General features: G+C 36.6%; 1 protein-coding gene across 10 annotated transcripts in view; it reads left to right on the top strand.

Annotated features, from left to right (window-relative positions):
* Positions 1-27,509, top strand: part of EXOC6B (exocyst complex component 6B) — a 650,050-nt gene that overhangs the window by 464,933 nt on the left and 157,608 nt on the right. For 9 of the 10 annotated variants that reach the window (NR_135774.2, NM_001321734.2, NM_001321733.2 and 6 more), the window contains one exon: positions 26,081-26,154. The exons of the other annotated variant lie outside the window; for it this stretch is intronic. Coding sequence is in view for 8 of the 9 variants with exons in the window: in NM_001321734.2 (NP_001308663.1) it covers positions 26,081-26,154 (74 nt within the window). In the remaining variant the exon portion in view is untranslated. The remainder of the gene's footprint in view (positions 1-26,080; positions 26,155-27,509) is intronic. 10 annotated transcript variants of the gene reach the window in all.

Here is a 27,509-nt window from a genome sequence, read left to right as displayed (position 1 = left end):
CACCCTTAACACTGTTGTATGTAGATCCTAGTTATAAGACAAGATTCAGTAAGGGACAGAGCATAGCAGAGCAAAATGCTACTCTTCTCTGGGAATGGGGTTGCAATGGAAAGTATTTTGGAGAAGAATAAGGGGTCAAAGTTCCATAATTTTTTTTTTTTTTTTTTTTTGAGATGGAGTCTTCCTTTATCGCCCAGGCTGGAGTGTGATGGTGTGATCTCAGCTCACTGCAAGCTCTGCCTCCCGGGTTCACGCCATTCTCCTGAGGTTCCATGATTTCTTTTACTATCCTTGCATTTATCAAGAAAATATGATGGGATTATGAAGGCAACAGAAACTTGAAATCAACTTATTTGATTTTCAGCTTTCTCAACTATCCAGCTGCAGAAGGAAGGGGATTACTGCAATAGAGCTTCATTATAGTCCTGTGTTTCCTTAGATTCCTGAGATGGGCATTCTAGGAAGGACGAGAATTGGCCTCATTTTTATCTTAAGTTACCCAGTGTTGTTAAAAGCGATCACATGGCTCATATTCCTCAATTTCTTTAAATTGATCAGCAGACACTAGTCCTCCATAGCTTCTCCCTCAGTGGGAACATGGTCATAAGTGACTTAAGATAATACCTTAATTATAAGCTTGGCTACCAAGTTCCACAGACTGTTGGCTTTCCATCCTGGGAAATGAACTTGTAGTATAAAGAAGTATCTGAGAAGTCCAGGTGCAGTGGCTCATGCCTGTAATCTTAGCACTTTGGGAGGCTGAGGTGGGCAGATCATTTGAGCTCAGGAGTTTAAGACCAGCTGGGCCAACATGATGAGACCCTGTCTCTACCAAAAATACAAAAATTGGCTGGGCATAGTGGCACATGCTTGTGGTCCCAGCTACGTGGGAGGCTGAGGTGGGCAGATTGCTTGAGCCTGGGAGGTGGAGGTTGCCGTGAGCTGAGATTGTGCCACTGCACTCCAACTTGGGTGGCAGAGCAAGACCCCATCTGAAAAAAAAAAAAGTATCTGAGGCTGGTTAATTTATAAAGAAAAGAGGTTTATTTGGCTCATGGTTCTGCAAGCTGTACAAGAAGCATGGTGCCAGCATCTCATTTTGGTGAGGGCCTCAGTAAGCTTCTACTCATGGTAGATAGAGAAGGGGGAGCCAGCATGTCACATGGCAAGAGAACCAGCAAGAGAAGTGGGGGAGGAGCCACAGTCTTTTAAACAACCAGCTCTCACATGAACTCATTACTGTGGGGAGGGCACCAAGCCATTTATAAGGGCTCTGCTCCCATGACCCAAACACCTCCCACTAGGCCTCACCTTCAGCATTGAGAATCATGTTTCAACGTGAGATTTGGAGGGGACAAATAAACAAACAGAAATATACAAATAAGTATACATATCAGGAGGGAAGTCTCAATCCTCTTTTCCCTATCATTACCTGCTAACTAATTCCAAACATTCTACTTTCTCTTTTGTTTGGCAACTCATTCCCTAATAATAATCTGTCTTAATTAGAGTATGTTTATTTGCAACTGTCTTAGTCCGTTTGTCCTGCTATAACAAAATGCTTGGGACTAGGTAATTTATAAATAATAGAAATTTATTTCCTATAGTTCTGGAGGCTGGAAGTTTAAGATCAAGGCATTGTCGGGTTTAGTGTCTGGTGAGGGCCTGAAAACTGCTTCCAAGATGGCAACTTATTGCTGCATCCTCTGGAGGGTTCAAATGCTGTGATCTCACAAGGTAGAAGGGGTAGAAGGGCAAAAAGGGCCTAGCTAGTTTCCTCCATTCCTTTTATAAGATTACCAATCCCATTCATGATGGCTGAGCCCTTATGCCCTAATCACCTCCTAAAAACTTTACCTCTTAATCCTGTTGCACTGAAGATTAAATTTCACCATGAATTTTAGAGTGGACACTAACATTCAAACAATACAGCAAGGAGCAAAAATCTATTCAAACCAGTTCAAGAATAAAGAAGGGCTTATTTTAAATATACGCATTTCATAGAGTCTAAGAAAAAGGTAAACAGCAGATTAGTTAGGACAAGGATCTTGTCTGCCCCACCCAGTCCTATCTCCTTAGGACTTAGCATAGTGCCCGCCATATGGTACTTTAATAATAAATATTTTTTGAGTGAATAAATATGATGCAATTAGCAATTACTTCAGTCTGTAGATCTGTTTGGTTAGCTCTGAAGATGGGAGGGAGTTGAGGTAGTAAGTAGCTCAGGATAGATATCATGAGATGTGAATAATAGAGAAAACTAGGATGTGGTTGTAATCTTAAGGAATATTCTCTTAGCATGGTATGGAACTGGAGAGTCAATGAATGGCAATTTTAGTGCATACATCCTACCACAAATTTGGATGGATTATAAAACCATATTTACCACCAACAGTCAATTCTTAATATGCCAGCAATATAATACATAATAATTAAAATCTTAGGTAATAGAAATAGATTGTCCTTTAAAACCTGGATCTTCAATTTAGTAGTTTGGGCATACTCAACTTCTCTAAACCTTATTTTTTTCATTTGTAAAATGAAGTTATATTTGTACCTATCTCATAGACATGTGATAACTAAGTGAATAATTGCTATTGTAAATGCTCAGTAATTGTTAGCAGACATCATCATCATTGGTAAGAGTACTGGGCTGGAGGTCATTGTATTACAACTTCAATTTTGCCAACGACTAGCTATGGTCTTGGTCTTGGGCATTCATTAAACCTTGCTTGGGCTTTGGGCTCCTCATTTATAAAATGAGAAAGGTGGACTAGGTGATATCTGAATTTCCATTTAGTTCCAAGATATTAAGATTTATTATGAGAAGGGGGAGCACGTGGATAGCTTTATGTCTGTGGAGAGTTGTTATAAGTATTAAATGAGATAATGCATGTGAAATGCTTTACAGGTGACAGAACATAAATACATATTGTAATTATTAGATAAATATTAAATATATTTATGTAGTTTTCATTATAGTTATGTATTATGCCATGTTTACCAGGGGACTTACACAGTAGTCACCCCTTATCTATGCGGTATATATTCCAAGAGCCTCAGTGGATGCCTGAAACTGTGGATAGTACTGAACCTTATACAGTCGTACATTGCTTAGTGACATGAATGGGTTCTGAGAAGTGCTTCGTAAGGTGGTTTCATTGTTGTGTGAACATCATAGAATGTACTTATACAAACCTAAATGGTATATAGCCTGCTACATACCCAGGCTACAAACCTGTACAGCATGTATAATAGTACTAGATACCATAGGCAGTTGTAACACAGTCAGTGGTAAGAATTTGTGTGTCTAAACAGAAGCGGTAATGTGTTGCACTATGACATTACAATGGCTACAGCATCACTAGGCAATAGGAATTTTTCAGTTCCATTATCATCTTTTTTTTTTTTAAAGGCAGTCTTGCTCTGTTGCCCAGGCTGGAGTGCGGTGGCACTGTCTCAGCTCACTGCAACCTCTGCCTTCTGAGTTTAATGATCCTTCTGCTTCAGCCTCCTAAGTAGCTGGGATTACAAGTGTGCAACACCAACGCCTGGCTAATTTTTGTATTTTTTTTAGAGACAAGGTTTCACCATGTTGGCCAGGCTGGTCTCAAACTCCTGGCCTCAAATGACCCACCTGCCTTGCCTCTCAAAGTTCTGGGATTACAGGCATGAGCCACCATACCCAGCCCAGTTCCATTATAATCTTATGGGACCACCATCATATATACAATTGATTGTTGACTAAAACATCATTATACAACACATAACTATATATACTATGCTTTTTCCTATACATGCCTCCCTATGTTAAAGTTTAGTTTATAAATTAGGTACAATAAGATATTAACAACAACAATAATAAAATAGAACAATTATAACAATATGCTGTTATGTAATATAAATATGGTGTCTGTCTCTCAAAATATCTTACTGTACTATACTTACCCTTCATCTTTTTATATTGATGTCAGATGATAAAACACCTGTGTGATGAGATGAAGTGAAGAGAATTCCAGAAGTCAACAATTCACACATTTTAAATTGTGCACCATTCTGAGTGGTGTGATGAAATCTTGACTGTCCCACTTAGGGAAATGAATCATCCTTTTGTCCAGTGTATTCATGGTCTATATGCTACCTACCTGTTAATCGTTGGTCACTTAGTGGCCGTCTCACTTCTCAGTTCTGCTCTCTTAGTATGGCAGTACTTGTGTTCAAGTGACTCTTATTTTACACCAATAATGGCCCCACAATGCAAGGGCAGCGATATAATATTTTCAGTCAGTGGTTGACCATAGATGACTGAAACCATGGAAAGTGAAATGGCAGATAAGGGGAAGACTACTATATTTAGAGTATATGCAAGCAGAAAGCAAGCGTTGGGTGTTTGCTATCAGGGGCTCTTGTAAAGTCAATGGCTATGTAATAAGGTCAATAATTTTTTACTAAAAGAAACTTTATATGTGATTCTTTAAGTTGGGACTCTCTCATATAGTCTGCCTTATACTGTTTACTTTGGGGTAATGTTAGTTAGTTAGTTTGTTTTTTTGTTTGAGATACAGGATCTTGCTATGTTGCCCAGACTGGAGTATGGTGGCTATTCACAAGGGCAATCATAGCACACTACAGCCTTGAATTCCTGGGTTTAAGCAATCCTCCTGCCTTAGCCTCCTGAGTAGCTAGGACTACAGGCATCTACCACCATGCCTGGCTGGATAATGTTGGTTTCACAGGAAAATCAAACTGTCTAGTTAAGATCTGAAGCACTGTGGTATTCTGGTAGAGACATTAGTGTGGTTATGAGATCAGAGTTGCCATAGTACAACATGTTAGCTAGGCAGTCCTGAACGTCAGAAGAAACTAAAGAATATGAATAAATTTATTTTGGAAACCTGGGTATCTGAACCTGAACATACTAGTAGAAATGTATTTTAAAAATAAAAGTTGGCTTTACGTGAAATTAAATAAATCTTGGAAATGTTTAATCATTGTAGCAAACAGCACCATTTCATACTAAGGAATTCTTATAAAACATTTTAAATGTACTTCCTTTTCAATTAAAAAATATTTTTAATACCTTATCCAAAGGATGCTTTACCAATTATATCTTAGACATTTGATACCTCCTCAAGAATTAAAAGAGAGCAATCTTAAGAATGTAAGGTTTAAAGAGAGACAAATGGAGGAAGTTTGAACCCAATAAAAATTTAAACTTCATCTACTAGGTTAAATGAAAATAACAGATGTCCCTTTTGTTAGAGAATTTATAGTGCTTTAAAATGCAAATTTCCTATGGGTGGACTACTGAAGGACATGTTGTGTGTTTCAGTATCAATAATTTTCAATCCCTTACCTGCTATCCTTAGCCTCATCCTTCTGAATTATAATTTTAAAATAAGCTGCTTCTTTCTGCAGTCTCTCATCTGAGAAGCATTAAGTCAGAAGATTGATGATAGACTTCAAGTTTGTATGCAGAAAAATAAACTTGTTTTCTATAATTTGCAGTGCACTGCACATGTGGAAATCTAAGGATAGTTGTTATTGCTTAAGATCATGAAGACTATAACTTGGTTTATGAGAAAAGTTCCATGGCTAATGAATTTTGTCTCTTGCTTGTTCGACTGGTTAATGGAATCAGAGAAATATTTTATGTTTTTTACAATTAATGCTTTCATTCTCTACTGGAAATATATAGGGATTTGAGTCGCCAATCTTTGTTAGAGCATACCTTCTTCTTTCATTTTATCATTTGGTTTCCTTTTTTTCAGTTTCATTCTGTATTAGTGTTTCAAAATTCTCATTTGAATTTAATAATTGCAGTGAAACGTATAGATTTACAAGGGAGAATCAATAAGTTGGCAATTATATATATGAGTATGTGTATATATGCATACAGTAATCAATAGCTCATTCATTCTCTGTGTTCCTTGTTTTCTCTGTAGGAGCTGGCACACTGCAGATATTTTATATAAGAAATTATACCGAAAACTCAAGTGCAGTGGGAATGTGTAGGATGAAAATAGCGACCATAGTCTGATATCATTTTCTCAGGCACACAACTCTCAGTCAATTTATGTAAAAGCTTCTTTGGGAATTTATAGATTGTCTCTCCTCCACCTCCCAGGCCCTTACCAGTTCTTTTTAAAAGCAGGATTGAGTTTGGATCCTTAGATCTAAAATGGTGTGGGAAGTACACAAACTGCAAATCTTTTTGTCATCAAAAATAGGCAGTACAAAAGCTCTGCTTTGTTTGCTCTTATCTGACCATGCCTACAAGGCTTGTCCTTGCTCGGTGCTGTGCTTTTATGATATGCCTTTCTTAGCTATGGAGACCCAAATAGAAGCCCTCCTGGCCATTCAAATGGCAATGTCACTTCTTTTTGACTACAGATGATGGACCCTATACTCTCTGAGAGGGCTTTTCTCAGACATGGGTCAATGAGTAGTACCCACTCAGCAGTTATTTTAGTTTATGGGCTGAAGTTCCTTGAATTCCAGAAGATAAGGCAGTCATTGTTTCTCTGAGCCCATTGCCAGATACCTGGTCATTTGATAGTAGGTGCTGCCAACCTGAACAGTGGGGGCAAGCAACCTGTTCCTCCTTATCGTGGCCTAAGATGCCATCCTTGTCAAGAAAATGGAGATGGATCATGCTGCTCTAACCCTGACATACATCATTGTCAAGCCATGCTATTGGCTTTCAGAGATTGGCCAACACAAACAAAGTACTGTTTCTGGTAGTAGAACTTACCTTGGATGCCAAGAATGTTCGTGATGAGGGAGTACAAAGGATCTACTACATGAAAGATCATAATTCACAAATGAACTTCTTTTCTGTGGCAAGTTCCTTCAATACCCTGAAATTCTGTCTGGCTGTTTGGTAAATATGGTACTTATTCCATCTCTAACTATGGACAGTGGCTGGTTGCTCTTTGAAACTGTTTAGCTGTTTCCTTCTGGTTTTATTTCAAGGGATATTGGGGTGGGGGAGCCAGTGGCAGGGGGAGATCTAACTTATTCAACTAATAGTTTCTAAAAGACCATTTTCCTGATACATGGTTTTGAAAAGGAGAGGGACAGATTTATTTTTTAGTTGTGATCCGAAGCTTGCTGCTCCATCCTTCTTTCTCTGCATTTTCAATCTTAACTGTTTCAGATTTCATTTCTTACTTTTTGCAACTTTGAGAGCTACACCTTAAGTTTCATGGACCAGAAAGAATAAGTAATGCCATTTCAAAGAAGAAAACTATGTTGTGGTTATTACTATTTTCATATCACTTGACCCTGGTTCCAGACTTGGTAAAACATGTTTTGTCACAGTTAAAATAGTATATCGTAGGAATTTCTTAATTTCCAAAGCCTTTTTACTGTTGTTTTTTTTTTACTAGAAATTTTAAGAAACAATTATTTAAAGTTTTCATTACACCTGGGCATGGTAGCTCATGCTTGTAATCTTAGCACTCTGGGAGGGTGAGGCGGTCGGATCACTTGAGGTCAGGAGTTTGAAACCAGCCTGGCCAACATGGTGAAACCCTGTCTCTACTAAAAGTACAAAAAAAGTAGCCGGGCATGGTGGCAGGTGCCTGTAATCCCAGCTACTCGGGAGGCTGAGGCAGGAGGATCATTTGAACCTGGGAGGCAGAGGTTGCAGTGAGCCGAGATGGTGCCAATGCACTCCAGCCTGGGCGACAGAGCGAGGCTCCATCTCAAAAATACGATACAATACAATACAATACAATACAATACAACAAAATATAAAGTTTTCATTATGGGGATTGATCCTTGTAATTTGCTTGAAAACACATAGAAGCATTTTCAGGGATAAATGAGCCAGTAGAAAGAACAACCCATCTTAATCATCATTCCAAACCAGAGACCTCACCATTAGCTCAAGGGCAGTGTGTGGCCATCTCTTTCTGCTCTATCAACGAACTCCAAACATCGCTTCAGCTGAAAATTATTTTACTTATTTAGCACGGGTGCCCCTCCTTCCTTCAAGCCATTTGTTCTTCCTTTCACCCATGTAGGCCAAAGTCCTAATGTTCATAGTATGCCCCAATCTCCCAAGAATTTCTGATGCATTCACTGCTCTTGCTTGTCTCCCAGTGTTTACACTGGTACATTTAATATATTTTTTGGCCCTCACTTCATGTTGTTAGGGCGGACGTCAGTAAACTGTATTAATTGAGCGCTTTTATAGGGTATAAACCAGGAAACCATATTAAATACCATGTCTATTTAGAAATTATTTTAATTGTTGCAAGTTGACAGATTTCTACACAGGTCTACAAGAAGTTCCCATAACATTTTAATCCATCTACTGCCTTTATGTAGATAACGCCTTACACATCTCAAAAAAAAAAAAATGATTACAGTCCTAACTTTTATCTTTTTTTTTTTAAGTAAGACATTTTTAAAAATATGCCTTTCCATCATTACTCACTCCAGCATGCCAACATTTAACAGATTCTGATTTGGATTCTGCTGTTTTAATTAAATCATATATTTAATCTACTTCTAGTATTACAGTATTAAAATTTGTCCTCTTTCTTTCTCTTTAATCTATTTGCATTTATGTGCATGAAAGAAAGAAAAGGAGAGAGAGAAAAAAACCCAAATATCACCTTAGCATTCTCAATAGCATATTTCTAAGATTGAAATTTAGAAAAATTGAAGGAAATATCATTGCCAACACTTCCATTTAGAAAACCTGACGTTCCAAAAGCTAGTAAGTCAATGTATAGGCTTTTTAAAGCCTTGCCTTTAATGTTCTGTGCTGGTAGTTGACTCTATTTTCCTTCTACTCTATTTTCTACTCCTTTTCTGGAAGGAGCAGGTGGTATGGTAGGGTCACTAGTGGGATAATGTACATTTGGATGGGTGAATTGAGGCCCATGTTTTTGTTTTTGTTTAACCACTAATAGCTATGAATTTGTGCAACTCAGCTAATCCCTTTTAGAATTTTTTCAGTAATTTGTTATATGTAAATGGGTTGCACTAAAATCCCCAATTGGACTAGATGACTAGGTGTTACCCATCAAGTGTGGTGAAGTAGGTGAGGAAGTGTGTTCTGAAAGGCAATAGTATGTACAAATTGTGAGAGAAAATAAAGAGCATACTGAAGAGGTCTCTTAAATTAGAGGACTAAAACTAGTTCATTTTGACTAAAGAATAGGGTGAAATGAAGTGGGGTGGTCATAAGGAATTCATGGAAAGATAAGTTATTGTTAGATCTTGCAAGATGTATTAAGAAGCATATACTTTATTCTAAGAACACTGAGAGCTGTTTATGTTATGAGAGTGTCATGGTCATTTTCTACTTTGGAAAAATAATTATAGCAAAAGGGTGATAAATCCATAGGAGAGAGGCAAGACTAGATGTAAAAACCAGTTAGAAGTAGGGTTGCCAGATAAAAAACAGGATGCCTGATTAAATTAGAAGTTCAGGGGAAAAAGTGAGTTTCAGATAAACAAATTACTTTACAGTATAAGCATGTCCCATATATTACAGGTTATATGCAAATGTCCTAAGGACATAAAAAGTGTTGCTTTAGTAAGAAGGAAGCCAAAGAAAGAGTACTTTTAGTGGAAGTAGGGTGGTGTAAACCAGATTGCAGTTGAGGAATGAATGGAAGATAAAGACGTTGAGTCAGTGTTTGTAAACAAGTCTTTCAGAAATTGATTTGAAAGGGAAGAAACAAGGTATTTATTTCACTTCCTCTGAGAAGTTCAGTGGTTATTTTTCTTACGTCGCTATTGTTAAGCCAAATGACTATGAACCGTTTAATTGTAAATAACACCAAACATATAATGGGACCACAAATAAAAGAGAAATTATTCTTAATTTGTTTTCTTTGTAGGCATCAGTAAAATTTTCCTAATAAAATTTTTCTTCTTTCTGTCATTCTCTCGCCTTTCATTCTGAATGATGTACCTTTCTGGAGAATTTCAGGTCTCCTCACTTTTTTACCAAATCCAGCTGTCAGACTGCTTGAGGCCTGCCCTTCCCCTCTGACTCACTGGAATCTCTTTCTCAGCTGTCTGCCCGTCAATGGATGGAAACAAGGTGTAGCATGATCCCCTGCCCAGACAATTAACCAGGGGAAAGGGTGAGGTTCTTGACTCTCCCCTACAAAAGCATTTGTGAGGGCTTTTTCAACAAGGAACATTTTAAAGACAGGGCTGCTTTTAATACTTGAAATGCTGATTTATCCTCCATACCTACTGGCACTTGAGATATTCCTTAAAAAGCACCAGTCTATCATGGAAAGAAGTTGCTTATGTAGCTTGAGAAAAAGTTCATTTCCTTTTCCTCAAACTAATCTAAATTCCCTTTAAACACCAATCTCTTTCTCTCAGCAGTACCTAAGAGTTCAAATGCCTAATGCTTCCTTTAGAGCTCCTGTTGTGTCTGAAGTCAAATCTTTGACGCCTTACGTAATAACTACCAGCTTAAGGTCTCAGATTTCACTGGCAGAGATTCTCTTCTCCTTTTTATTTTTTAAAATTTGTTTGTTTTAGGAAAAGAGAAAAGGGAAAACACCACATCAAACTGAGCTCTTAGTTCCAAGTTTATATTCTCTAATAAGATAGATCCTAAGTCTAGCTCTTGACCTCTGAAAATAAATTCATTAGCATTTATAAGCAGAATGACAGACTGTTATCTATGTTAATATTGATCTAATTGCATAAATTTAGCCTGGATGTTAGATCATTGTTTTAATACTTTACATTAAAATTCTATATTGGGGGAAAAGTTATCAACGAATCCTAGAACAATTCCATGAAGCAAAGAAGGAAAACTAGAAAATATAGAAAATGTTAACTTCTTCTAGGAAAGATATGCATAATGTTTTACTATGCCATTATCAAAAACGGTCTTTAATAATGAAGACTGTTTTAATATAATATATTTAAATTTTCAATTCATTGAAGAAGTGGCCATGTAGATAAAAATGCATATTGTTATTTTATTGCATCCAAGGCCAATAGTTTTCACAATTACTTCTGCTGGGACATATATGGCTATAACCTAGTTATTAAAATGGACCCAATATCGAGTTGTACTGCCCTTAATCTGGATTGGACTTTATGTTCTGACCACAATTCCCTGACACCAACTGAGTATCCTACAATTCAATCTAACTGTAACTTCCCAGAGTCAGCAGAGTCCCCACAAATTGGGGGTCAGTCCGACAAGACTGCCCCACTTCAGACTCTAGTTGCAAGTCTCTGGTGTCCTCGGGCCACCTGCACTTCTGCCTAGCCAACCACAGACTAAGGCTCCCCACAATCCCTTCAGTTTCAATAATTTGCTAGAACAACTCACAGAACTCACTGAAAGCTCTGTACTTACAATTATAGTTTTATTATAAAGGATACAACTCAGGAACAACCAAATGGAAGAGACACATAGGGCTTGGCTGAGGTGGGGAGAATAGCAATCTTCCATGTCCACTCCTCATGGAATCTGAGTGTGTCTCCCTCTCAGCTTATCAATGTTTTCACCAATCAGGAAACTGCACTGTGTTTTAGTGTCCAGAGTTTTTATATGGGGTTTTATTGCATAGGCAAGATTGATTAAATCATTAGTCACATGATTGAGCTCAATCTCCAGTACTTCTCGCCTCCTGGAGGTCAGGGATGGGGCTCAAAGCTCCAACTGTTCAATCCCATAATTGGTCTTTATGGCATGGCCAGCCCCTCCCTTCAGATTCTCTAAGACCCCACCATCAGTTACCTCATTAACATAAACTCAGATATTGCCAAAAGGAGCTCGTTATAAATAACAAAAGATATTCCATCACTCAGGAAATTCCACGAGTTTTTGAAGCTCTATGCCAGGAGCCAGGGACAAAGACCAGATATATTCCTTATTATATCACAGACCTCAAGAGTGTATTCGATTCAGTCCCATAGCTTTAAACAAGTGAAATATTATTATCTTCATTTTACAGCTGAGACATCTGGCACTGAGAACTTACATGTTTGGCCTAGGGTCACATAGCTAGTAAATTCTACAAGGGCTAGAATCCCCATTACCTCAGCCAATGATATGTTCATTTTCTGTGGACATTAATTTAGAGTATGAGACTAAGTTTTGCTAGCAGATTGTAAGACCATATATGAAATATATATGAGAGAAACATCATCTCCTTTCAGCTTGGAATGGGTCATGCTGACTTTTTAAAAAAATGTAGCTCTTTTAACCTGAGAAACACCCCATGTGGAACCTACCTTTATAATTTTCTGACTCTCAGCTTTTTTTGTGATGTATGCCATACCTCCACCTTGCTCAAGAGTCCTGAACATTAGTCCTAATATTTTTCTTGTTAACGATCAGCATTTATTTTATATTGTACACTTATAAAACAAGTTGCAGTATTTGCAGTTGTAGCTCAAGTTTGCTACTGTCATCATTGGCTGGGGAAACTGAGGCAGAGAGTTTTTATCCTGAAACTTATATGCTGATCAGCTGTCTTCATTTTAAAAACGTTATATCCTATTGCTTTCCAAAAGTGATTTGTGACCACTTTCAACATGATAAATTTGAAAAATGAATAAATTAGATATAAGAAAGCAAAAATGAGATGAAGAGAAGAATACAAGTAAAGGATTTGTAGAGAGATAATAAAAATGTACTGACAGGCTTGTTGAAGCATATACAAAATATATAGCTCTCTCATTATCTAAGAGGGCAACATTTTTTAAGTTCCAAATACCAAGAGAATTTTCTCATAATGGGAACTGAATAAAAGTCCTATGATCTGAATATTTATGTTCCCCCAAAATTCATATGTTGAAATCCTAAACTTCAAGGGAACTATATTAGGAGGTGGGGACTTTAGGTTAGGTCAAGAGGACAGAGACCTTGTAAATAGGATTAGTGTCCTTACGAAAGTGACCCCAGAGAGATCCCTTACTCCTTCTACCTGTGAGCCTACAATAAGCAGGTGTTATCTATAAACCAGAACGCAGGTCCGACTAGACACTGAATCTGTAGGTGCCTTGATCTTGGAGTTCCCATCCCAGAAATGAGAAATAAATTTCTGTTGTTTATAAGCTCCCCAATGTATGGTATTTTACTATAACAGCCTGAATAGACTAACACAAGAAGCCATAGTGTAGTATCATGGGCATTTCCTTCAATTCCAATTTCATAGCCAATATAAAAATAGAATTCATATTGCTATGGGTTTTGATAGTGCCCTTTCCTTGTCATTCCAGAATCTTAAGTCATTCTTTACGTACTTCATTTTGGTTTCCGTTTGTTATAATCAATGTCATCTAGAGCTACAATGTTCAATACTATTGCTACCAGCCAAAAAAGCTGTTGAGCACTTGAATTGTGGGTAGTCAGAAAATGACATGTGCTGTAAGTGTAAAGTACATACTGGATTTTGAAAGAATACAAAATATCTCAATAATTTCAAAAATATTAATTTCATGTTGAAATTATATTTTAGATATATTGAGTTAAATAAAATATATTCTTAATTTTAGAATTAATTTTACTTGTTTCTTTTTGTAATGTGTCTTCTAGAAATCTAAAAATTACTCATGTGGTTTACATTTCTGTTTAGACAGTGCTTTTCTAGAGAATTGATTTTCACTGTTCTGTTAAATGTCCTGCAGAATGCTTTCTCAATGTAAAATTTCAGATAGCCATAGCTTCGGATATATGTTCATATGGCAGAATAATCAGTGCCAAACAAACACATGGATAAAATTAAGTTCTTAAAAGCATAGTAAAAATATCAAGGATATAAAGTTACTGCTTTGGAACACCAGTCTTTCTCATCTCTCAGGAAACCCACCCCTTTCATGGCAGATCTTCAACTTTCCTAGAGATTATGCACAGAAGCACTGCTGATTGCCAACTGGGAGAGGCCTTGTTCTAAAAGATATATGGTGAAATTGACCCTTATTTTGAAAAATTGTGAAGCATTTGGGAACCTTGGAGGAAAATTGTGACTTTACATAGATCTATGTATTTTAATGAAAAGAATATTTTATATGTATAAAAAGGAATGTGTAAAGTGAATATTTGTTTTTGATATTCTAGGGTGGGAGTTGCATATTGAAATAATAGATTTAAAGGGATTAGATTGTAACTAGTTCACTGACTTAACTTTTTTGACCTTTTAAAATCTATTAATATGAAAGTCTTCAGCAATTACAAATACTCCTTTCATCTTGGGATCCCAAGATTGTAGGTTGAAATCGTAGAACATCTTTGTTATCCTTGGCTATTATTTGTCTATGGAATACTAAGGGAAAATCCAATGCCATATAGCCTGCTATTGTTCTGCCATTTGTTATATTCTTTACTTTCCTTAACTCTTCCTCCTTCATAAGGAACCACATATTGCAAAAATTACTGATTTAATTCAGTGAATATAGCTAAAATAGTCATATCCATCATTTAGAATATTTCCTTAGATAAAAAGCAGTACTTCATTTTTGTAAAGGCCCCCAGTGCCCATGGACTCCATGAACTGGTAGAAAATGATAATCGTCTTCGTTTTTTTAAATCTTGAAGTGAAATTGTTTTTTAGTTTACCTTTTGAGATTCAACCCACTAATTTCCTTATTTACTGATTATTCTTATATGTTAGGCAAGACATAGAAATAAGCTTCTCCAGTTTTCTAGGTTTATTCCTCTTAAAACAATGCCTCTCTCCAGGTAAATGTATGTTGTCATTAACATTAGTCACTCACTGCAAGTGCCTAGATCCTCATTTCTTCTCAATGCACATGGTACAGCCAGATGGAGATTGATCTGCCTATTTATTTAGCAGCAGCAGGAAGGACTCTTCGTGCTTGTGGCTATCTTCTCATTTATGGGAGATTAATTCCTTATTTAATTAAAAAGCCATGTCTATCTGTCTTAGTTCTCAATTGTAAGAAGATAGGAGAATTGAACTTTAGAAAAAATTTATAAATACATTTGGAGTACTGGTTTGGCATTTGCTATTAGACTTCATTATTATCAATTTTAATCACATTTCCTATTAAAAAAAAAACCTTTGAGAATATGTTAGAGTTAGCCTTCACTTTCCTCTGCCCTTTTTATAAATAAATTTTTAGCAGACTTTAATTTTTGGAACAGTTTTAGGTTCCCAGCAAAATTGGGTGGAAGGTACAGAGTTCCAATATACTCCCTGCTCTACCACATGTATAGCCTCCTCCACTATCAACACCCTGCACGAGAGTGGCACATTTATTATAATCAGTGAATATACAGTGACACATCCTTATTACCCAAAGTCTATACTTTACATTAGGGTTCACTCTTCGTGTTGTACATTCTATGGGCTTGGACAAATATATAGTAACATGAATCTGCCATTGTAATTTTATAGAGAATAGTTTCCTTGTCCTAAAAAATCATCTGTTTTGCACCTATTCATCCCTCCCTTTCTTCTGTCCCCTAGCAAGCTCTGATCCTTTACTGTCTCCATAATTTTCCCTTATCTAGAATGTCATATAGTTGGAATCATACAATATGTAGCTTTTTTGATTGGCTTCTGTCATTTAGTAATATGCATTTTAGGTTCTTTTGTGTTTTTTCATAGCTTGATAGCCCATTTCTTTTTAGTACTAAATAATATTCCCTTGTCTGGAAATAACACCATTTATTTATCCATTCACCTACTAAAGGACATCTTGGTTGCTTCCAGATTTGGGAATTATAAATACAGCTGCTCTAAACATCCATTCCCAGATTCCTATGTGGACATAAGTTTTCAACTCATTTGAGTAATACCAAGCAATGCAGTTACTGGGCTGATGATAAGAGTATGTCTAGGAGAAATAGGAAGTACCAGGAATCAGTTTTCCCACCTAGGCAATAATTACACTGGCAGAATTTGTCTGATATAACTGTTTTGGAACTGCAGAGTCTATAAAAAGCTTGCAACTTCCAGGGGAAGGCTTGGACATTAAAGTGTGGTTAACTTTTATCAATTTTATTTCTTAGTACACTAATAGCTACCCATCCTCAACCCCAGTCCCATGGCAGGCAATTGTGCGTGTGTTCCCAAAGCAGCTTACCCACAGCTTATGGGAGCCAGAGTGGGCAAAAATGACCTTGTCCTCCAAATATTGGGTAATTGTCTTCTGATTGTTGAATGCTGCTTCTAATCACAGAGGTTCAGATGGAGATGGGCGACCATTCTTTTTTGTTTTCCCAGGATTGTTGTTTGCTCCTGCTCCTCTGGCTAAAATGATGTCAGGAGATTTAAAGGGCTTGTGCTTTTTTTTCCCCCTACTTCTCTTCATTTTTTTTTCTTTTTCCCCATTTGGGAGCCAAACATTAAAGACTAGGACATTCAAAAGCAACTGCATAATTGGAGAAAATTAGAAACTAACCGTAGAGGTCCAGAGAAAGGCATCTGCTCAGAAAAGATGTGAGAGGACCTGAGTTTACATATCAGGCTGATCCTTGCCATAGACATGGTCTATAACAATCAACAAAACAATCAACAAAAACGGTAACAAAAAACAGCAAGTCCTAGAGAAGGGGAAGAATTTTTTTTCCAAAGTTGCCACATTATTAGATTCAAATGTCCAGTTTTCAATTAAAAATCGCAAGGAATACAAAGAAACAGGAAAGTATTGCCCATGCAAGCAAAAAAAAAAAGTAAATCAACAGAAACTGCTCCTGGAAAAGACCTGATGGTGGATCTACTAGACAAAGACTTTAAAACAACTCTCATAAAGATGTTCAAAGAACTAAAGAAAGATGTGAAGAAATTCATGGAAATGATGTATGAGCAAAATAGAAATAGCAATAAAGAGATATAAAACCTAAAAAAGAAACAAAAAAGAAATTTTGGAGCTGAAAAGTACAATAACAAATGAAAATTGGACTAAATGGATTCAAAGGCAGATTTGAGCAGAAATAAAAAAGAATCAATGAATGGGAAGAGAAGACAATGGAGATTACTGAGTAAGGAATAGAAAGAAAGATGATTGAAAAAAGTAAACAGAACCTAAGGGACATGTGAGACCCATCAAATGGGCCAGTCTAGCCATTTGGAAGTCCCCGAGGAGGAGAGAGAAATGGATAGAGAGAATATTTCAAGAAATAATGACTGAAAATTTTCTAAATTTCCTGAAAGATATGAATATAAACATGCCAGAAGAACTCCAATTAAAATGAACGGAAGGATCTTACAAGACTCTTTGTAAGCATTTCTGTTTTGGTGCTTACAAGACTCATTACATAGAAAAGATCCTTAATAAGATTTGCAGATTTTTTTTATTACAAACTTTGGAGGCCAGACACAGTAAGCCAATATATTCAAAATACTAGAAGAAAAAACTATCAATATGTATTTTTCCAGATATGTATATGTAATTTTATACATATAATTTTATATACATATCTGTAATTTTATATACATATCTGAAAAAAATTATCCTTCAAGTGAGGGAGAAATTAAGACACTACCAGATAAATAGAAGCTAAGGAACTTCTTTCCTACCAGACCTGCCCTGCAATAAATGCTCAAGGGAATCCTACAAAGTGAAATGGAAGTATACTAGACAGTTACTTGAAGCCATATGAACAAATGAAGATTTCAATCAAGGTACATACATGGGCAATTATAAAAGCTAGTATTATTATCACAGTGGTTGGCAACTTCTTTTTGTTTTGTTTGTTTTGACACAGTCTCACTCTGTTGCCCAGGCTGGAGTGCAGTGGCACGATCTTGGCTCACTGCAGCCTCCACCTTCTGGGTTCAAGCAATTCCTGTGCCTCAGCCTCCCAAGCAGCTGGAACTAGAGGTGTGTGTCACCACACCCGGCTAACTTTTTGTATTTTTAGTAGAGATGGGGTTTCACCATGTTGGCCAGGCTGGTCTTGAACTCCTGGCCTCAAGTGATCCACCTGCCTTGGCCTCCCAAAGTTCTGGGATTACAGAAGTGAGCCACCACACCCAGCCTTCTTTTTGTTTTTTATTTAAGAGAAGAATACATTAGAAAAATTATTAATCTAAAATTTAATGTTTAGAAATTAACCAAGGTTGTAAAAGATCCCCACACTAGGCTTAATAGTATTCCATTGTATATATACACCATTTTCTTTCTCCATTGACCAGTAATGAGCACTTAAGTTGCTTTCATGGCTAATGTGAATATGAATATGAATGCTCTAGTGAACACGGGAGTGCAGATATCTCTTTGAGATACTGATTTCATTTCCTTTGGCTATATACCCAGAAGTGGGATTACTGGATCATACGGTAACTATAGTTTTAACTGTTTTTCTTTTCATTGTTTTCTGTTTTTGGGTTTTTGTTGTTGTTGTTGTTGTTGATATTTTCAGAGACACAGTATCTCTCTATATTGCCCAGGCTGGTCTTGGCCTCAAGCAGTCCTCCCACCTCAGCATTCTGAGTAGCTTTGATGACAGACAGAAGCAACCACACCTGACTCATTTTAATATTCTGAGGAACCTCCATTCTCTTTACCAAAATGGCTGTATTTATTTACATTCCCAATAACAGTATACGAGGGTTTCTTTTTTTCCACACCCTCACCAACGTTCATTATATCTTGTATTTTTGATGATAGCCATCCTAACAAGTTGTAGGGTGGTTTTATCTTATTGTGGTTTGATTTGCATCTTTCTGATGACTTTTGATTTTGCGCACTATTTCATATACCCAATAGTCATTTGTATGTCTTTTTTGGAAAAATGTCTATTTAGGTCCTTTGCTCAAGCTAAGGGCTTGTCAATTTTGTTTATCTTTTCAAGAAAGCTAACTCTTAGTTTTATTGATCTTTTCTATTTTTTTCTAGTCTCTATTTCATTTCTTATGCTCTGATCTTTATCATTTCTAACGTTGTGCTTAGTTGGTTCTTTTTGTAGTTCCTTGATGTGTGAATTTAGGTTGTTTATTTGAGAACTTTTATTTTCCTTAATGTAGGTATTAATAAATATCTAATAATTCTGATACCTAATAAATTCTAATAAGAATAAACTTCCCTCTTAAAATTGCTTTTTATGCATCCCTTAAGTTTTGATATATTGTGTTTGTTTTTATTTGTCTTAATATATTTTTATTCCCTTTTTAATTTATTTGACCCATTGGTTATTTAGAAGTGTATTGTTTAATTTCCACATATTTCTGAGTTTTTATAACTTCTTGTTATTGATTTCTGGTTTTATATACCATTATGCTCAGAAAAGGTACTTAAGATGATTACAATCATGTTAAATTTGTTAAGACATGTTTTGTGACTCAACATATGACCTATCCTGTAGAATGTTCTCTGAGCACTTGATAAAAATATATATTCTACTACTGTTGGGTGGAATGTTCTTATATATTTGGTAGGCTCATTTGGTTTATAGTGTTGTTCAAGTCTGATGTTTTCTTATTGCTTTTCTGTCTGGATGATCTATCCACTGTTAAAAATGTGGTATTGAAGACCCCTGTCATCGTATTGCTGTATTTCTCCTTTCTGCTCTGTTAATATTTGCTTAATATATTAAGTATTCCAATGTTAGGTCCATATCCTCCTGATGAATTGATTCCTTTATCATTATATAGTTACCTTCTTTGTCTTTTGTGACAGATTTTTACCAAAAAGTGTGTATTTTGTCTGATATAAGACAATACTTTTAATTATCGTTACCATAGAATGTCTTTCTTCATCCTTTCATTTTCAGTCTATTGTGTCCTTAAGGCTAACACGAGTCTATTGTAGTAATTTATTACATGTTCTGGATACTAGTCCTTTGTCAGACATGATTTGTGGATATTATTCTTTTTAAAATTGTGGTAAGAACACATATATGAAATCTACCCTCTTAAATTTTTAGGTATTCAATACAGTATTGTTCATTATAGGCACAATGTCCTACAGCCCCCTGTCTTTCTCGAAGTTGGAGATCTAGTGAGTTTCATATTTAAATTATAAAAACGCAAAGAATAATTTACATCATACAGTCATACCCTAGATAATTAATGGTATCTATTTTGTATGATTACATGTCCATACAAGCATACTTAGACAAGTATACTCAGATGAATCTCCAAGGAGCTTTTCCCTTCCACCTCCACCTCCTCCTCCTTTTCTCTCTCCTTGACATTGTTCTCCCTTCGTTCTTACTTCCTTATGTTCTGGCCGTCCCTTCTCTGACCAGTAGGATCTGAATTGGATTCCCTGTGGAGTACATCAACTCCTGTTTGTAATTAGCTTAGTGGAACCACTGTGATGTGATGCAAGAAGGCTTGGCTTCCCTAGACACTTCATAGTCTAGCACACCCTTCATCTGTTGCTCCAGGGAGCCAGATACCAGGAAACCGTTATGTTAATACAGCAACAACAGCTCTTATTTTTTCATTCCCACGAAAAAACACATGTGACCTAACATGATCTTAAATTATAAACAAGTACCCAGTATAGCTTAGGATTTTATGCTTTTTTTCCCTACTTATCTGGCATTTTGGCCAAAACCAATCCCTAATCCATTCAGCAAGAGCAGGTGATGCTATCGTGTCCATTGTCTAAACTGGAAGTTTACTGGAAACAATACTGTACTGATGTTATCTAGGACCCTCTTGTTAACATTTTGCAGATTGTCTTTTCACCTTCCTCTTATTTGAACAAGTTATTTTTTCTCCCAAAATTGCTATTTTACATACTTGCCAGACATTGTGCTAGTTTTGCTTTTCTGAAATAGATTTTTCCTTGTTCATCTTCCTTTGAAAGCTCTTCCTGTTCTATGGCATTTTGCAAAGATTTAGAAAAATTAGCTTTATATTTTTTCTCACAGACTTCTTTTGATAAACTCCCAAATGTCCTATATATGTAGATAGATTATAGACTAATTCAGTTATTTTGACTTCTCAAGGCCCCTCCTAACTCTCACTCTACCATTTTATTCTAATTTAGTATTCTGTGCTCTTTTATATATGTTGCTTTCTTCAGCCAAGTATGAATATACCAAATTAAAGTTAATTTTTTTCTTTCCCCTCGACTAAGTGACAGAATTTGTTAATTTTAAGATCAGCCTTCAAGAAGTCTAGAAAGCACTTTGAAATGGGTGGCATCCTTCCTTTTTCCCCTCTGGTAACTTCATTATAATGTGAAGATTATTAGAAATATAAAATTATAGCATATTTTTGAAAAATTAATAGTTTTTAAAAATAATTACCATATCTCATATATATTTGTGTGTATGAGAATATGAAGAGTTAGATATTTGGCAAGTAAAGTATATTAGTGATTTTCTTTCTCCTCTGATACATTTACTGACAATATACCTTCTTTCCTGCTATTTTGTATACCTCCTTTTAATTTTTTTAAGTGAAGATGTTTCCTTCATAAATTTCAAATGAATTGGCAGTTTCCTCATTGAAAGATTTTGCACATTTGCAAATGGTATCTTGGAGTCAGGTCCTGATACCAGCTTTGATTCTGTGAGTTTCTACCATGCGTGCTTGGACAGGGGCAGGGCAGAACTGCTGGGAAGAGCCAAGCTTTCTGGAGAATGGGTTGGTACCTGTCAGAGGCTCTCCTATCCTGAACAAGTTTCCCAAGAAGAAGCCACCTTGCTAGTCTCACTGAACTTTGATTCAGTCTCCCAGTAACAGGAATTGGTCAAAGGTGGGGTTTGGTTCTGCATTGAGTGGAGCAAGTACCTTGCTTTCCTTGCCAATGCTTCAGAATCTCTGGTGCTGGCTTGGATCACTTAGATACTGAAAACCTACTAAAAATTCTGGATTGCAAAGATAAGTCCACAAAGCGAATTTCCATTGTGACCTATGTATCCATTGGTTCTGCTTGGCCAAAATTGCATGTATTTCCCCTTTTTATTATGTCAAAGAAGGACAATTTTAATTAACAGCTCTAAAGAGAGGCTTCTTGTGTGTACATATAATCAATTTGTGGATGCATCAGCATATTACAAGAGTCTGGGAGCCTCTTGCCCCTCTCTCATGTGGTAGTTTTCCTCTTTTCTTTCTATCAAGCAGCATCTGAGAATTTGGGTTTACAGACCAATCCTAGTTGCCAATAATGCTAAATCTTGAACAAATTATATCTCTTGTTACTAGGGAAAGTACTGCAATATGAGCTTCACTACATAATGTGTATGTGTATGTGTATGTATGTGTATGTGTATGTGTATGTGTATGTGTATGTGTATGTGTATGTGTATGTGTGTGTTCTTCCATTTCCTTCTCTCAGGTTATAAAAGTGGTCTGTATTTATTTTCAAAGTTTATAAAATATAAAGAAGAAAAAAAAACACCCTCATAACCTTCCTGTCTGTAGCAGCCTTGGGTAACATTATGAAGTGAGTGCTTACTATCATGTTTTCTGTGCGTATTATATTTTATATAGTTGAAATTAGACCGTATACAAAGTCTCCTATATTTTAAAAAATATTCACATTTTCTAATGCTATTAACATTTTTTAATATATGTAAAAAGTTAATCATGTTTCCCAGGGCATACTGAGTCACAAAATTACAAAATACCTATTTTATACATTTATTAAATTTTTAAAACAATACTAATGAAAATTGCTATGCTGTAGCTAAAACACTAATACTTAATATCAATTTCCTTTAAATGAAGTAATTAAATAGTGCCTATAAATAAGTTTGCAATGCCAACTCACTAACTCATCACTGAGCCATAGCTGAATTTTTTCTTATGTTTTGTTCTTGATATAGAACAGTGTTTCTTAACCTTTTTTGAGCTACCAGCCCTCTGAGAATTCAGTGTACGCTATGAACCTTCTGTGCAGAGAAATTCATATTTACACTAAAAAACTAATTATAATGATACTCAATTATGCTAGGCACTCTGCCAACTGCTTTACATGTGTTATTCTGTTTAATCCTCATAGCAGCACTGTAAGGAATGCTGTATTATCCTCATTTTTGAGATAAAGATATTGAAGTGTAAAGAGGTTAAGTAAATTGTGTAAGCCCATAGAGCTACTAAGTGGAAAGCTGGGGCTCAAATTCTGATTTTTATTGCTCCAAAGTCCATCCCCTTAATCAATGTGCATGTAATTTTAGGGAGCTCATGAATTCCTAAAGCCTGTTTATTGATACTCAGATTAAGGACCCCTTATAATCCAGAGATTTTCATTGGCAGTGAAGAGTACATGTGCCCAATGAATCTTGCTATTTGTGTAACTTATTTAACTAAAACACAATATTGGTTGAACATCTACTATTTTGAGTGGATGTTTGGTTTTGTGAAATGGTCTTTATCCCTAAGGAGTTTGCTATCTATGTGGGAAGACAAGAATTATATACATAAAGCAATGAGAAAAAATACAAATATGAAGTTGAATATATAGTCATTAAACATTTCCATAAACTATATGTGAAAATTAATTTCTTTACTTTATCATACCTGATGCAACTGTCATTCTTTGATTCCTTGATTTATAAAAGGGGCAATCAAACTTAAAAGGCCATTATATCCTTTGGGAACCTGGAAGATTCAGTGTGTCATAAAAATGAGGTCCATAAAGTGACTCCGAAAACTAAATATGTATCACATCCAGATTCCTAAGTTGTTTCATCAGCTTAATCTATTAGCCCCAGGGAGCATGCCCAATAAGGAGATTCAAGAATGTGTAGCCAGCTCCCAAGCATTCAGGTGGGTGATTCTGTTGAGTTGGACATATATAGGATGGCAGAACATCTTGATAGTTGCTGCCATTTGACACAAGTAGGGTTTGAACTGACAGAGAAGTCTTCAGATGCTTCAAGTGATACAGCATAGACTTGAGTTATGCAATGCCAAGTGTGATAATCCAACATCCTTGGAAGAAACCATCAAGTATGGGAAGCTAATTTTAGCTGATCACCTAACAATCCAAGTAGTCAAAAAGAATAGCTGTGGCTGTAATTCAAAGAATTGCTATTAACAGGAGCATAGTATAGGAAAATTGTACATTTAACTCAAATAGCTCCTGTATACAAGGTTATCACAGATATTGGCTATTGTAGATATAAACAATGGATTATATCAAGCTTTTTATTAACATGGCCTTCATAAAATCTTCATACAGTTTTAGAATTTTACTTTTTTTTTTTTTTTTGAGACTGAGTTTCGTTCTTGTTGCCCAGGCTGGAGTGCAATAATGCAATCTTGGCTCACTGCAACCTCCACCTCCCAGGTACAAGTGATTCTCCTGTATCAGCCTCCCAAGTAGCTCAGATTACAGGCATGTGTCACCATGCCCAGCTAATTTGTTTGTATTTAGTAGAGACGGGATTTCACCACGTTAGTCAGGCTGGTCGCAAACTCCTGATCTCAGGTGATTCACTTGCCTCAGCCTCCCAAAGTGCTGGGATTACAGGCATGGGCCATCGCACCTGGCCAGAATTTTACTCTTTTAAAAAAGTGTTATCACTTGGGCAATATACGATAGAATTAATTTATATATGGCATTTGAATTTTCTTCTCAAAGCAAATAGAAACTTTAGTACTGCCAAGCATGCCATATAATTTATCTCATTAAAATGAAAAATGAGGCATTTTTAATTTTAAATGTCAAAATAAGAATTGTGTATATTGTTAATACATCTGTGCTATATTTTAATTAGTTTAATAAATTGCTTTAAATTTCATTTTGTATAATGTTCTCATAATTCCTGCAAACTAAGTTGTTAGCATAATTTTAAAAGTGGGGCAAGGGTTTTATGAAATGCTATGTCTGAGAAGCCCCCAAATGGAAAATATTTTTAAAGAACAGAAGTTCCTACCCTTGTTCAACAAATTACCATTTGGATCTATCCAGCCACTAGTTGTTGGAAGTAATTTTCTAGACATATATGCAAATATCTTGATAGATTTTATTGATTGCAAAAGAAGAATATGATACCAACTCTGTATAGTTTCTTAAATTCAGTACTGGATAGAAGCATAATTTGAAGGAAAACGTTCCTTTTCATATTTGCTTTGAACAGGCACTTGAGTTGTTTTTGAGGTAAATAGGAGATTGGCCACGGGCTTCATAGAAAGAATTGAATAATAGTATAACTGTCCAACTTTTGAATTTGGTGTGTGTGTGTATGTGTGTGTGTATAGGGAACTTAAGACCTTTTGATTTCATAATAAGCAGGGCTCAGGGACAATAAAATTTGACATTCTTAACTGTTACTAGTTTTTGTCCTTATATCCCTGTACAGCCATCTTCTTGTTAACGACATAGAAGCCAGAGTCATAAACTGAGCATGTACCCAAGGTGCCACTGTAAATTGCAAATAGTATTCATGTAATCTCTTCAGGCTAAGATTGAATTGGGGTAGAGAAAGGAGAAGAAAGAATTTTTGAGAGTGGAATGGAAGTAGAAGTCAAGGACAAAGAATACACTAGAAGGACAGACATGTGCAAATGTTCCCTAAGTTTTGCAGTGAGGTTTATTCAGATGGACCTTTTCATATCTGTAAATATTCCTTTGCTCAAAAGCCAAGTCATGGATTGGGATAGCCTCTGCTTCTGGGATGCGTGTGTGTGTGTGTGTGTGTGTGTGTGTGTGTGTGTGTGTGTGTGTGCAATAATGCAGTCATGAGATAATACAAATAATCAGTGAGGGAATAATTAATGATGTAGCAGGGAATATTTTTTGATAAATGCTTGGGGAATGAGGTGACAAGCGTGAAATTAGAAAATTCCTTCAGCGATCTAAAATATAAATAGCTTTTGGAACTGAAAAGAGTTTCACAGCTGAAGATTTTATTGTGTTGAGAGGAAAAACTTTTTTCTCTCCCCCACTCCCTCCTCCTTTGCAAGTTGTTTGTCCATTCACAAAACAAATACTCTGAAGCCCAGCGCAGCTCATGGGAATAAATTTCAGGTCGAATTAGTACAGTTTCCTTGCTGTCAGGATGCTGGAATTAATGGTGTTTTGATGACACGAATTTTGAAGGGCAAACAAAGAAGCTGAAGGGAGAGAGACATGACTCCTTAGAAGCTTGGTCCTCCTCTCCCCCAGCTTCTCTTGTCTTCCCTGTCATCCGTCTGCCAATCTCCCTGTCCATGGTTAGTTAAAGGCGCTTTTTATCCTCTTTTCTTTCCCACAGAGTTTGCCAGATCCGGCCCGGTGCCTGGGTTCCAGGAGGACACGCTGCAGTTGGCCTTCATCGACTTGAGACAAGTAAGTCTTTGTGTTTTTGTTTTTTGTTTTTCTTTTAAGATGTGTGACTGAAGACCATCAGGTCTTAAGGAAAAGGGGAAGGGAGGGGGATTGGCGTTGGCGATTCACATTGGAGACCTAAGGGTTTTCCCTGTATTTGAGGCCACCTCTTTTATTTAGCTATCTGGGATCCTTAGCTATGGTGGAGTTAAAGGTTTTGTGGGTAGAAGGGAAGGCGGGGGTGGGAGGAGGGACCCAGAGTAGAGGGACTCAAGTGACCCTCAAGTGATGCGACCCATTGTGCTGTTGTTGGCTTTTGCAGACATAGCAAAAAGATAACTCAGCAAACCAATGCTAAGCAGGTGCACTGATGCAGAGACTGCCTGCTTGGAGAAGTTTTGTTTGTAGATAATGTGGCCAGCAGCATTTAAGAAAAATGAAATATTTTACATTCTGGATTGTTGGTTGGTTTGTTGACTTTTTCCTGCTGCCTTAAGTCTTCCCGCCTCCTCCTTTGTAGAATGTTGTCAGCCATGGGTAACTAAGTGGTCGTTTTTGAAGATGATTAGAAAAGGCCTGGACCAGTGATGCTAACCCTATTAAAGTAATGTGATGAAAGCTGATACTTGGGCATACCTGAGCTTTGGGAAGCCCATTAGATAGAACCAGTCATTCTATAGGACTGTTTCTTGCAGATTGAACTGGGTGGGTTGGTAGGCCTTGGTGGTTTGGATATAGGGAACAGGGTGAGCGGGGGCCTAGTGAGGGAGAGAGTTAACTGGGCTCTGTCATCTCTTCACTCTTAAGATGGATGGGGTTGGATAGAAAGTGTGAATGAAGTAAGAATCAATGACTGATGCTTCTTTCCTATTAAAACAATCTTTTTTTTTTTTGTCTGTTTAAAAAAGGGGGCTGGCTTTGTTTCTCCTGCCATAATGATGCAGTGCCTCTTGTTTTCAGAGCTGACATAGTTTGCATTCTGAAAACTTTTAGATGCCCAGGGTATTTCTTAAAGCTGCAGGACCCCTTGTATCGGTAGTTCCTTACCACTGTGATTCGATTCATGCTGGAACAGCTTTTAACCCATAATGGATGGCCTGAGCTACCCCTGAATCCTTGTAGATGGGTGGTGTAATCTGTCATCTGATGACAATTCTGGAAAGCACTGTTAAGCAGAAAACAGAAAATTGTGTGTCTATAGACCTGCCAAAGTTTGAGGATTCAGGCTGTGTCCCAGAAACGTGTGTCAACTTAATATTTGGGGGCCAAGGTGGGGGTTCTCTTGCACATTAAGGATTCACCAGCATGATCACAAATGGAACAATCTCTTCCCACACTTAAGACCTTCCACCTGTAGATGTAGCAACTCAACTGAG

The sequence above is a fragment of the Homo sapiens genome, chromosome 2 (assembly GCF_000001405.40).
Source record: "Homo sapiens chromosome 2, GRCh38.p14 Primary Assembly".
Taxonomy (NCBI): domain Eukaryota; kingdom Metazoa; phylum Chordata; class Mammalia; order Primates; family Hominidae; genus Homo; species Homo sapiens.
The sequence above is the reverse complement of the archived record's forward strand: the minus strand, read 5'-3'. Positions and strand labels throughout refer to the sequence as shown.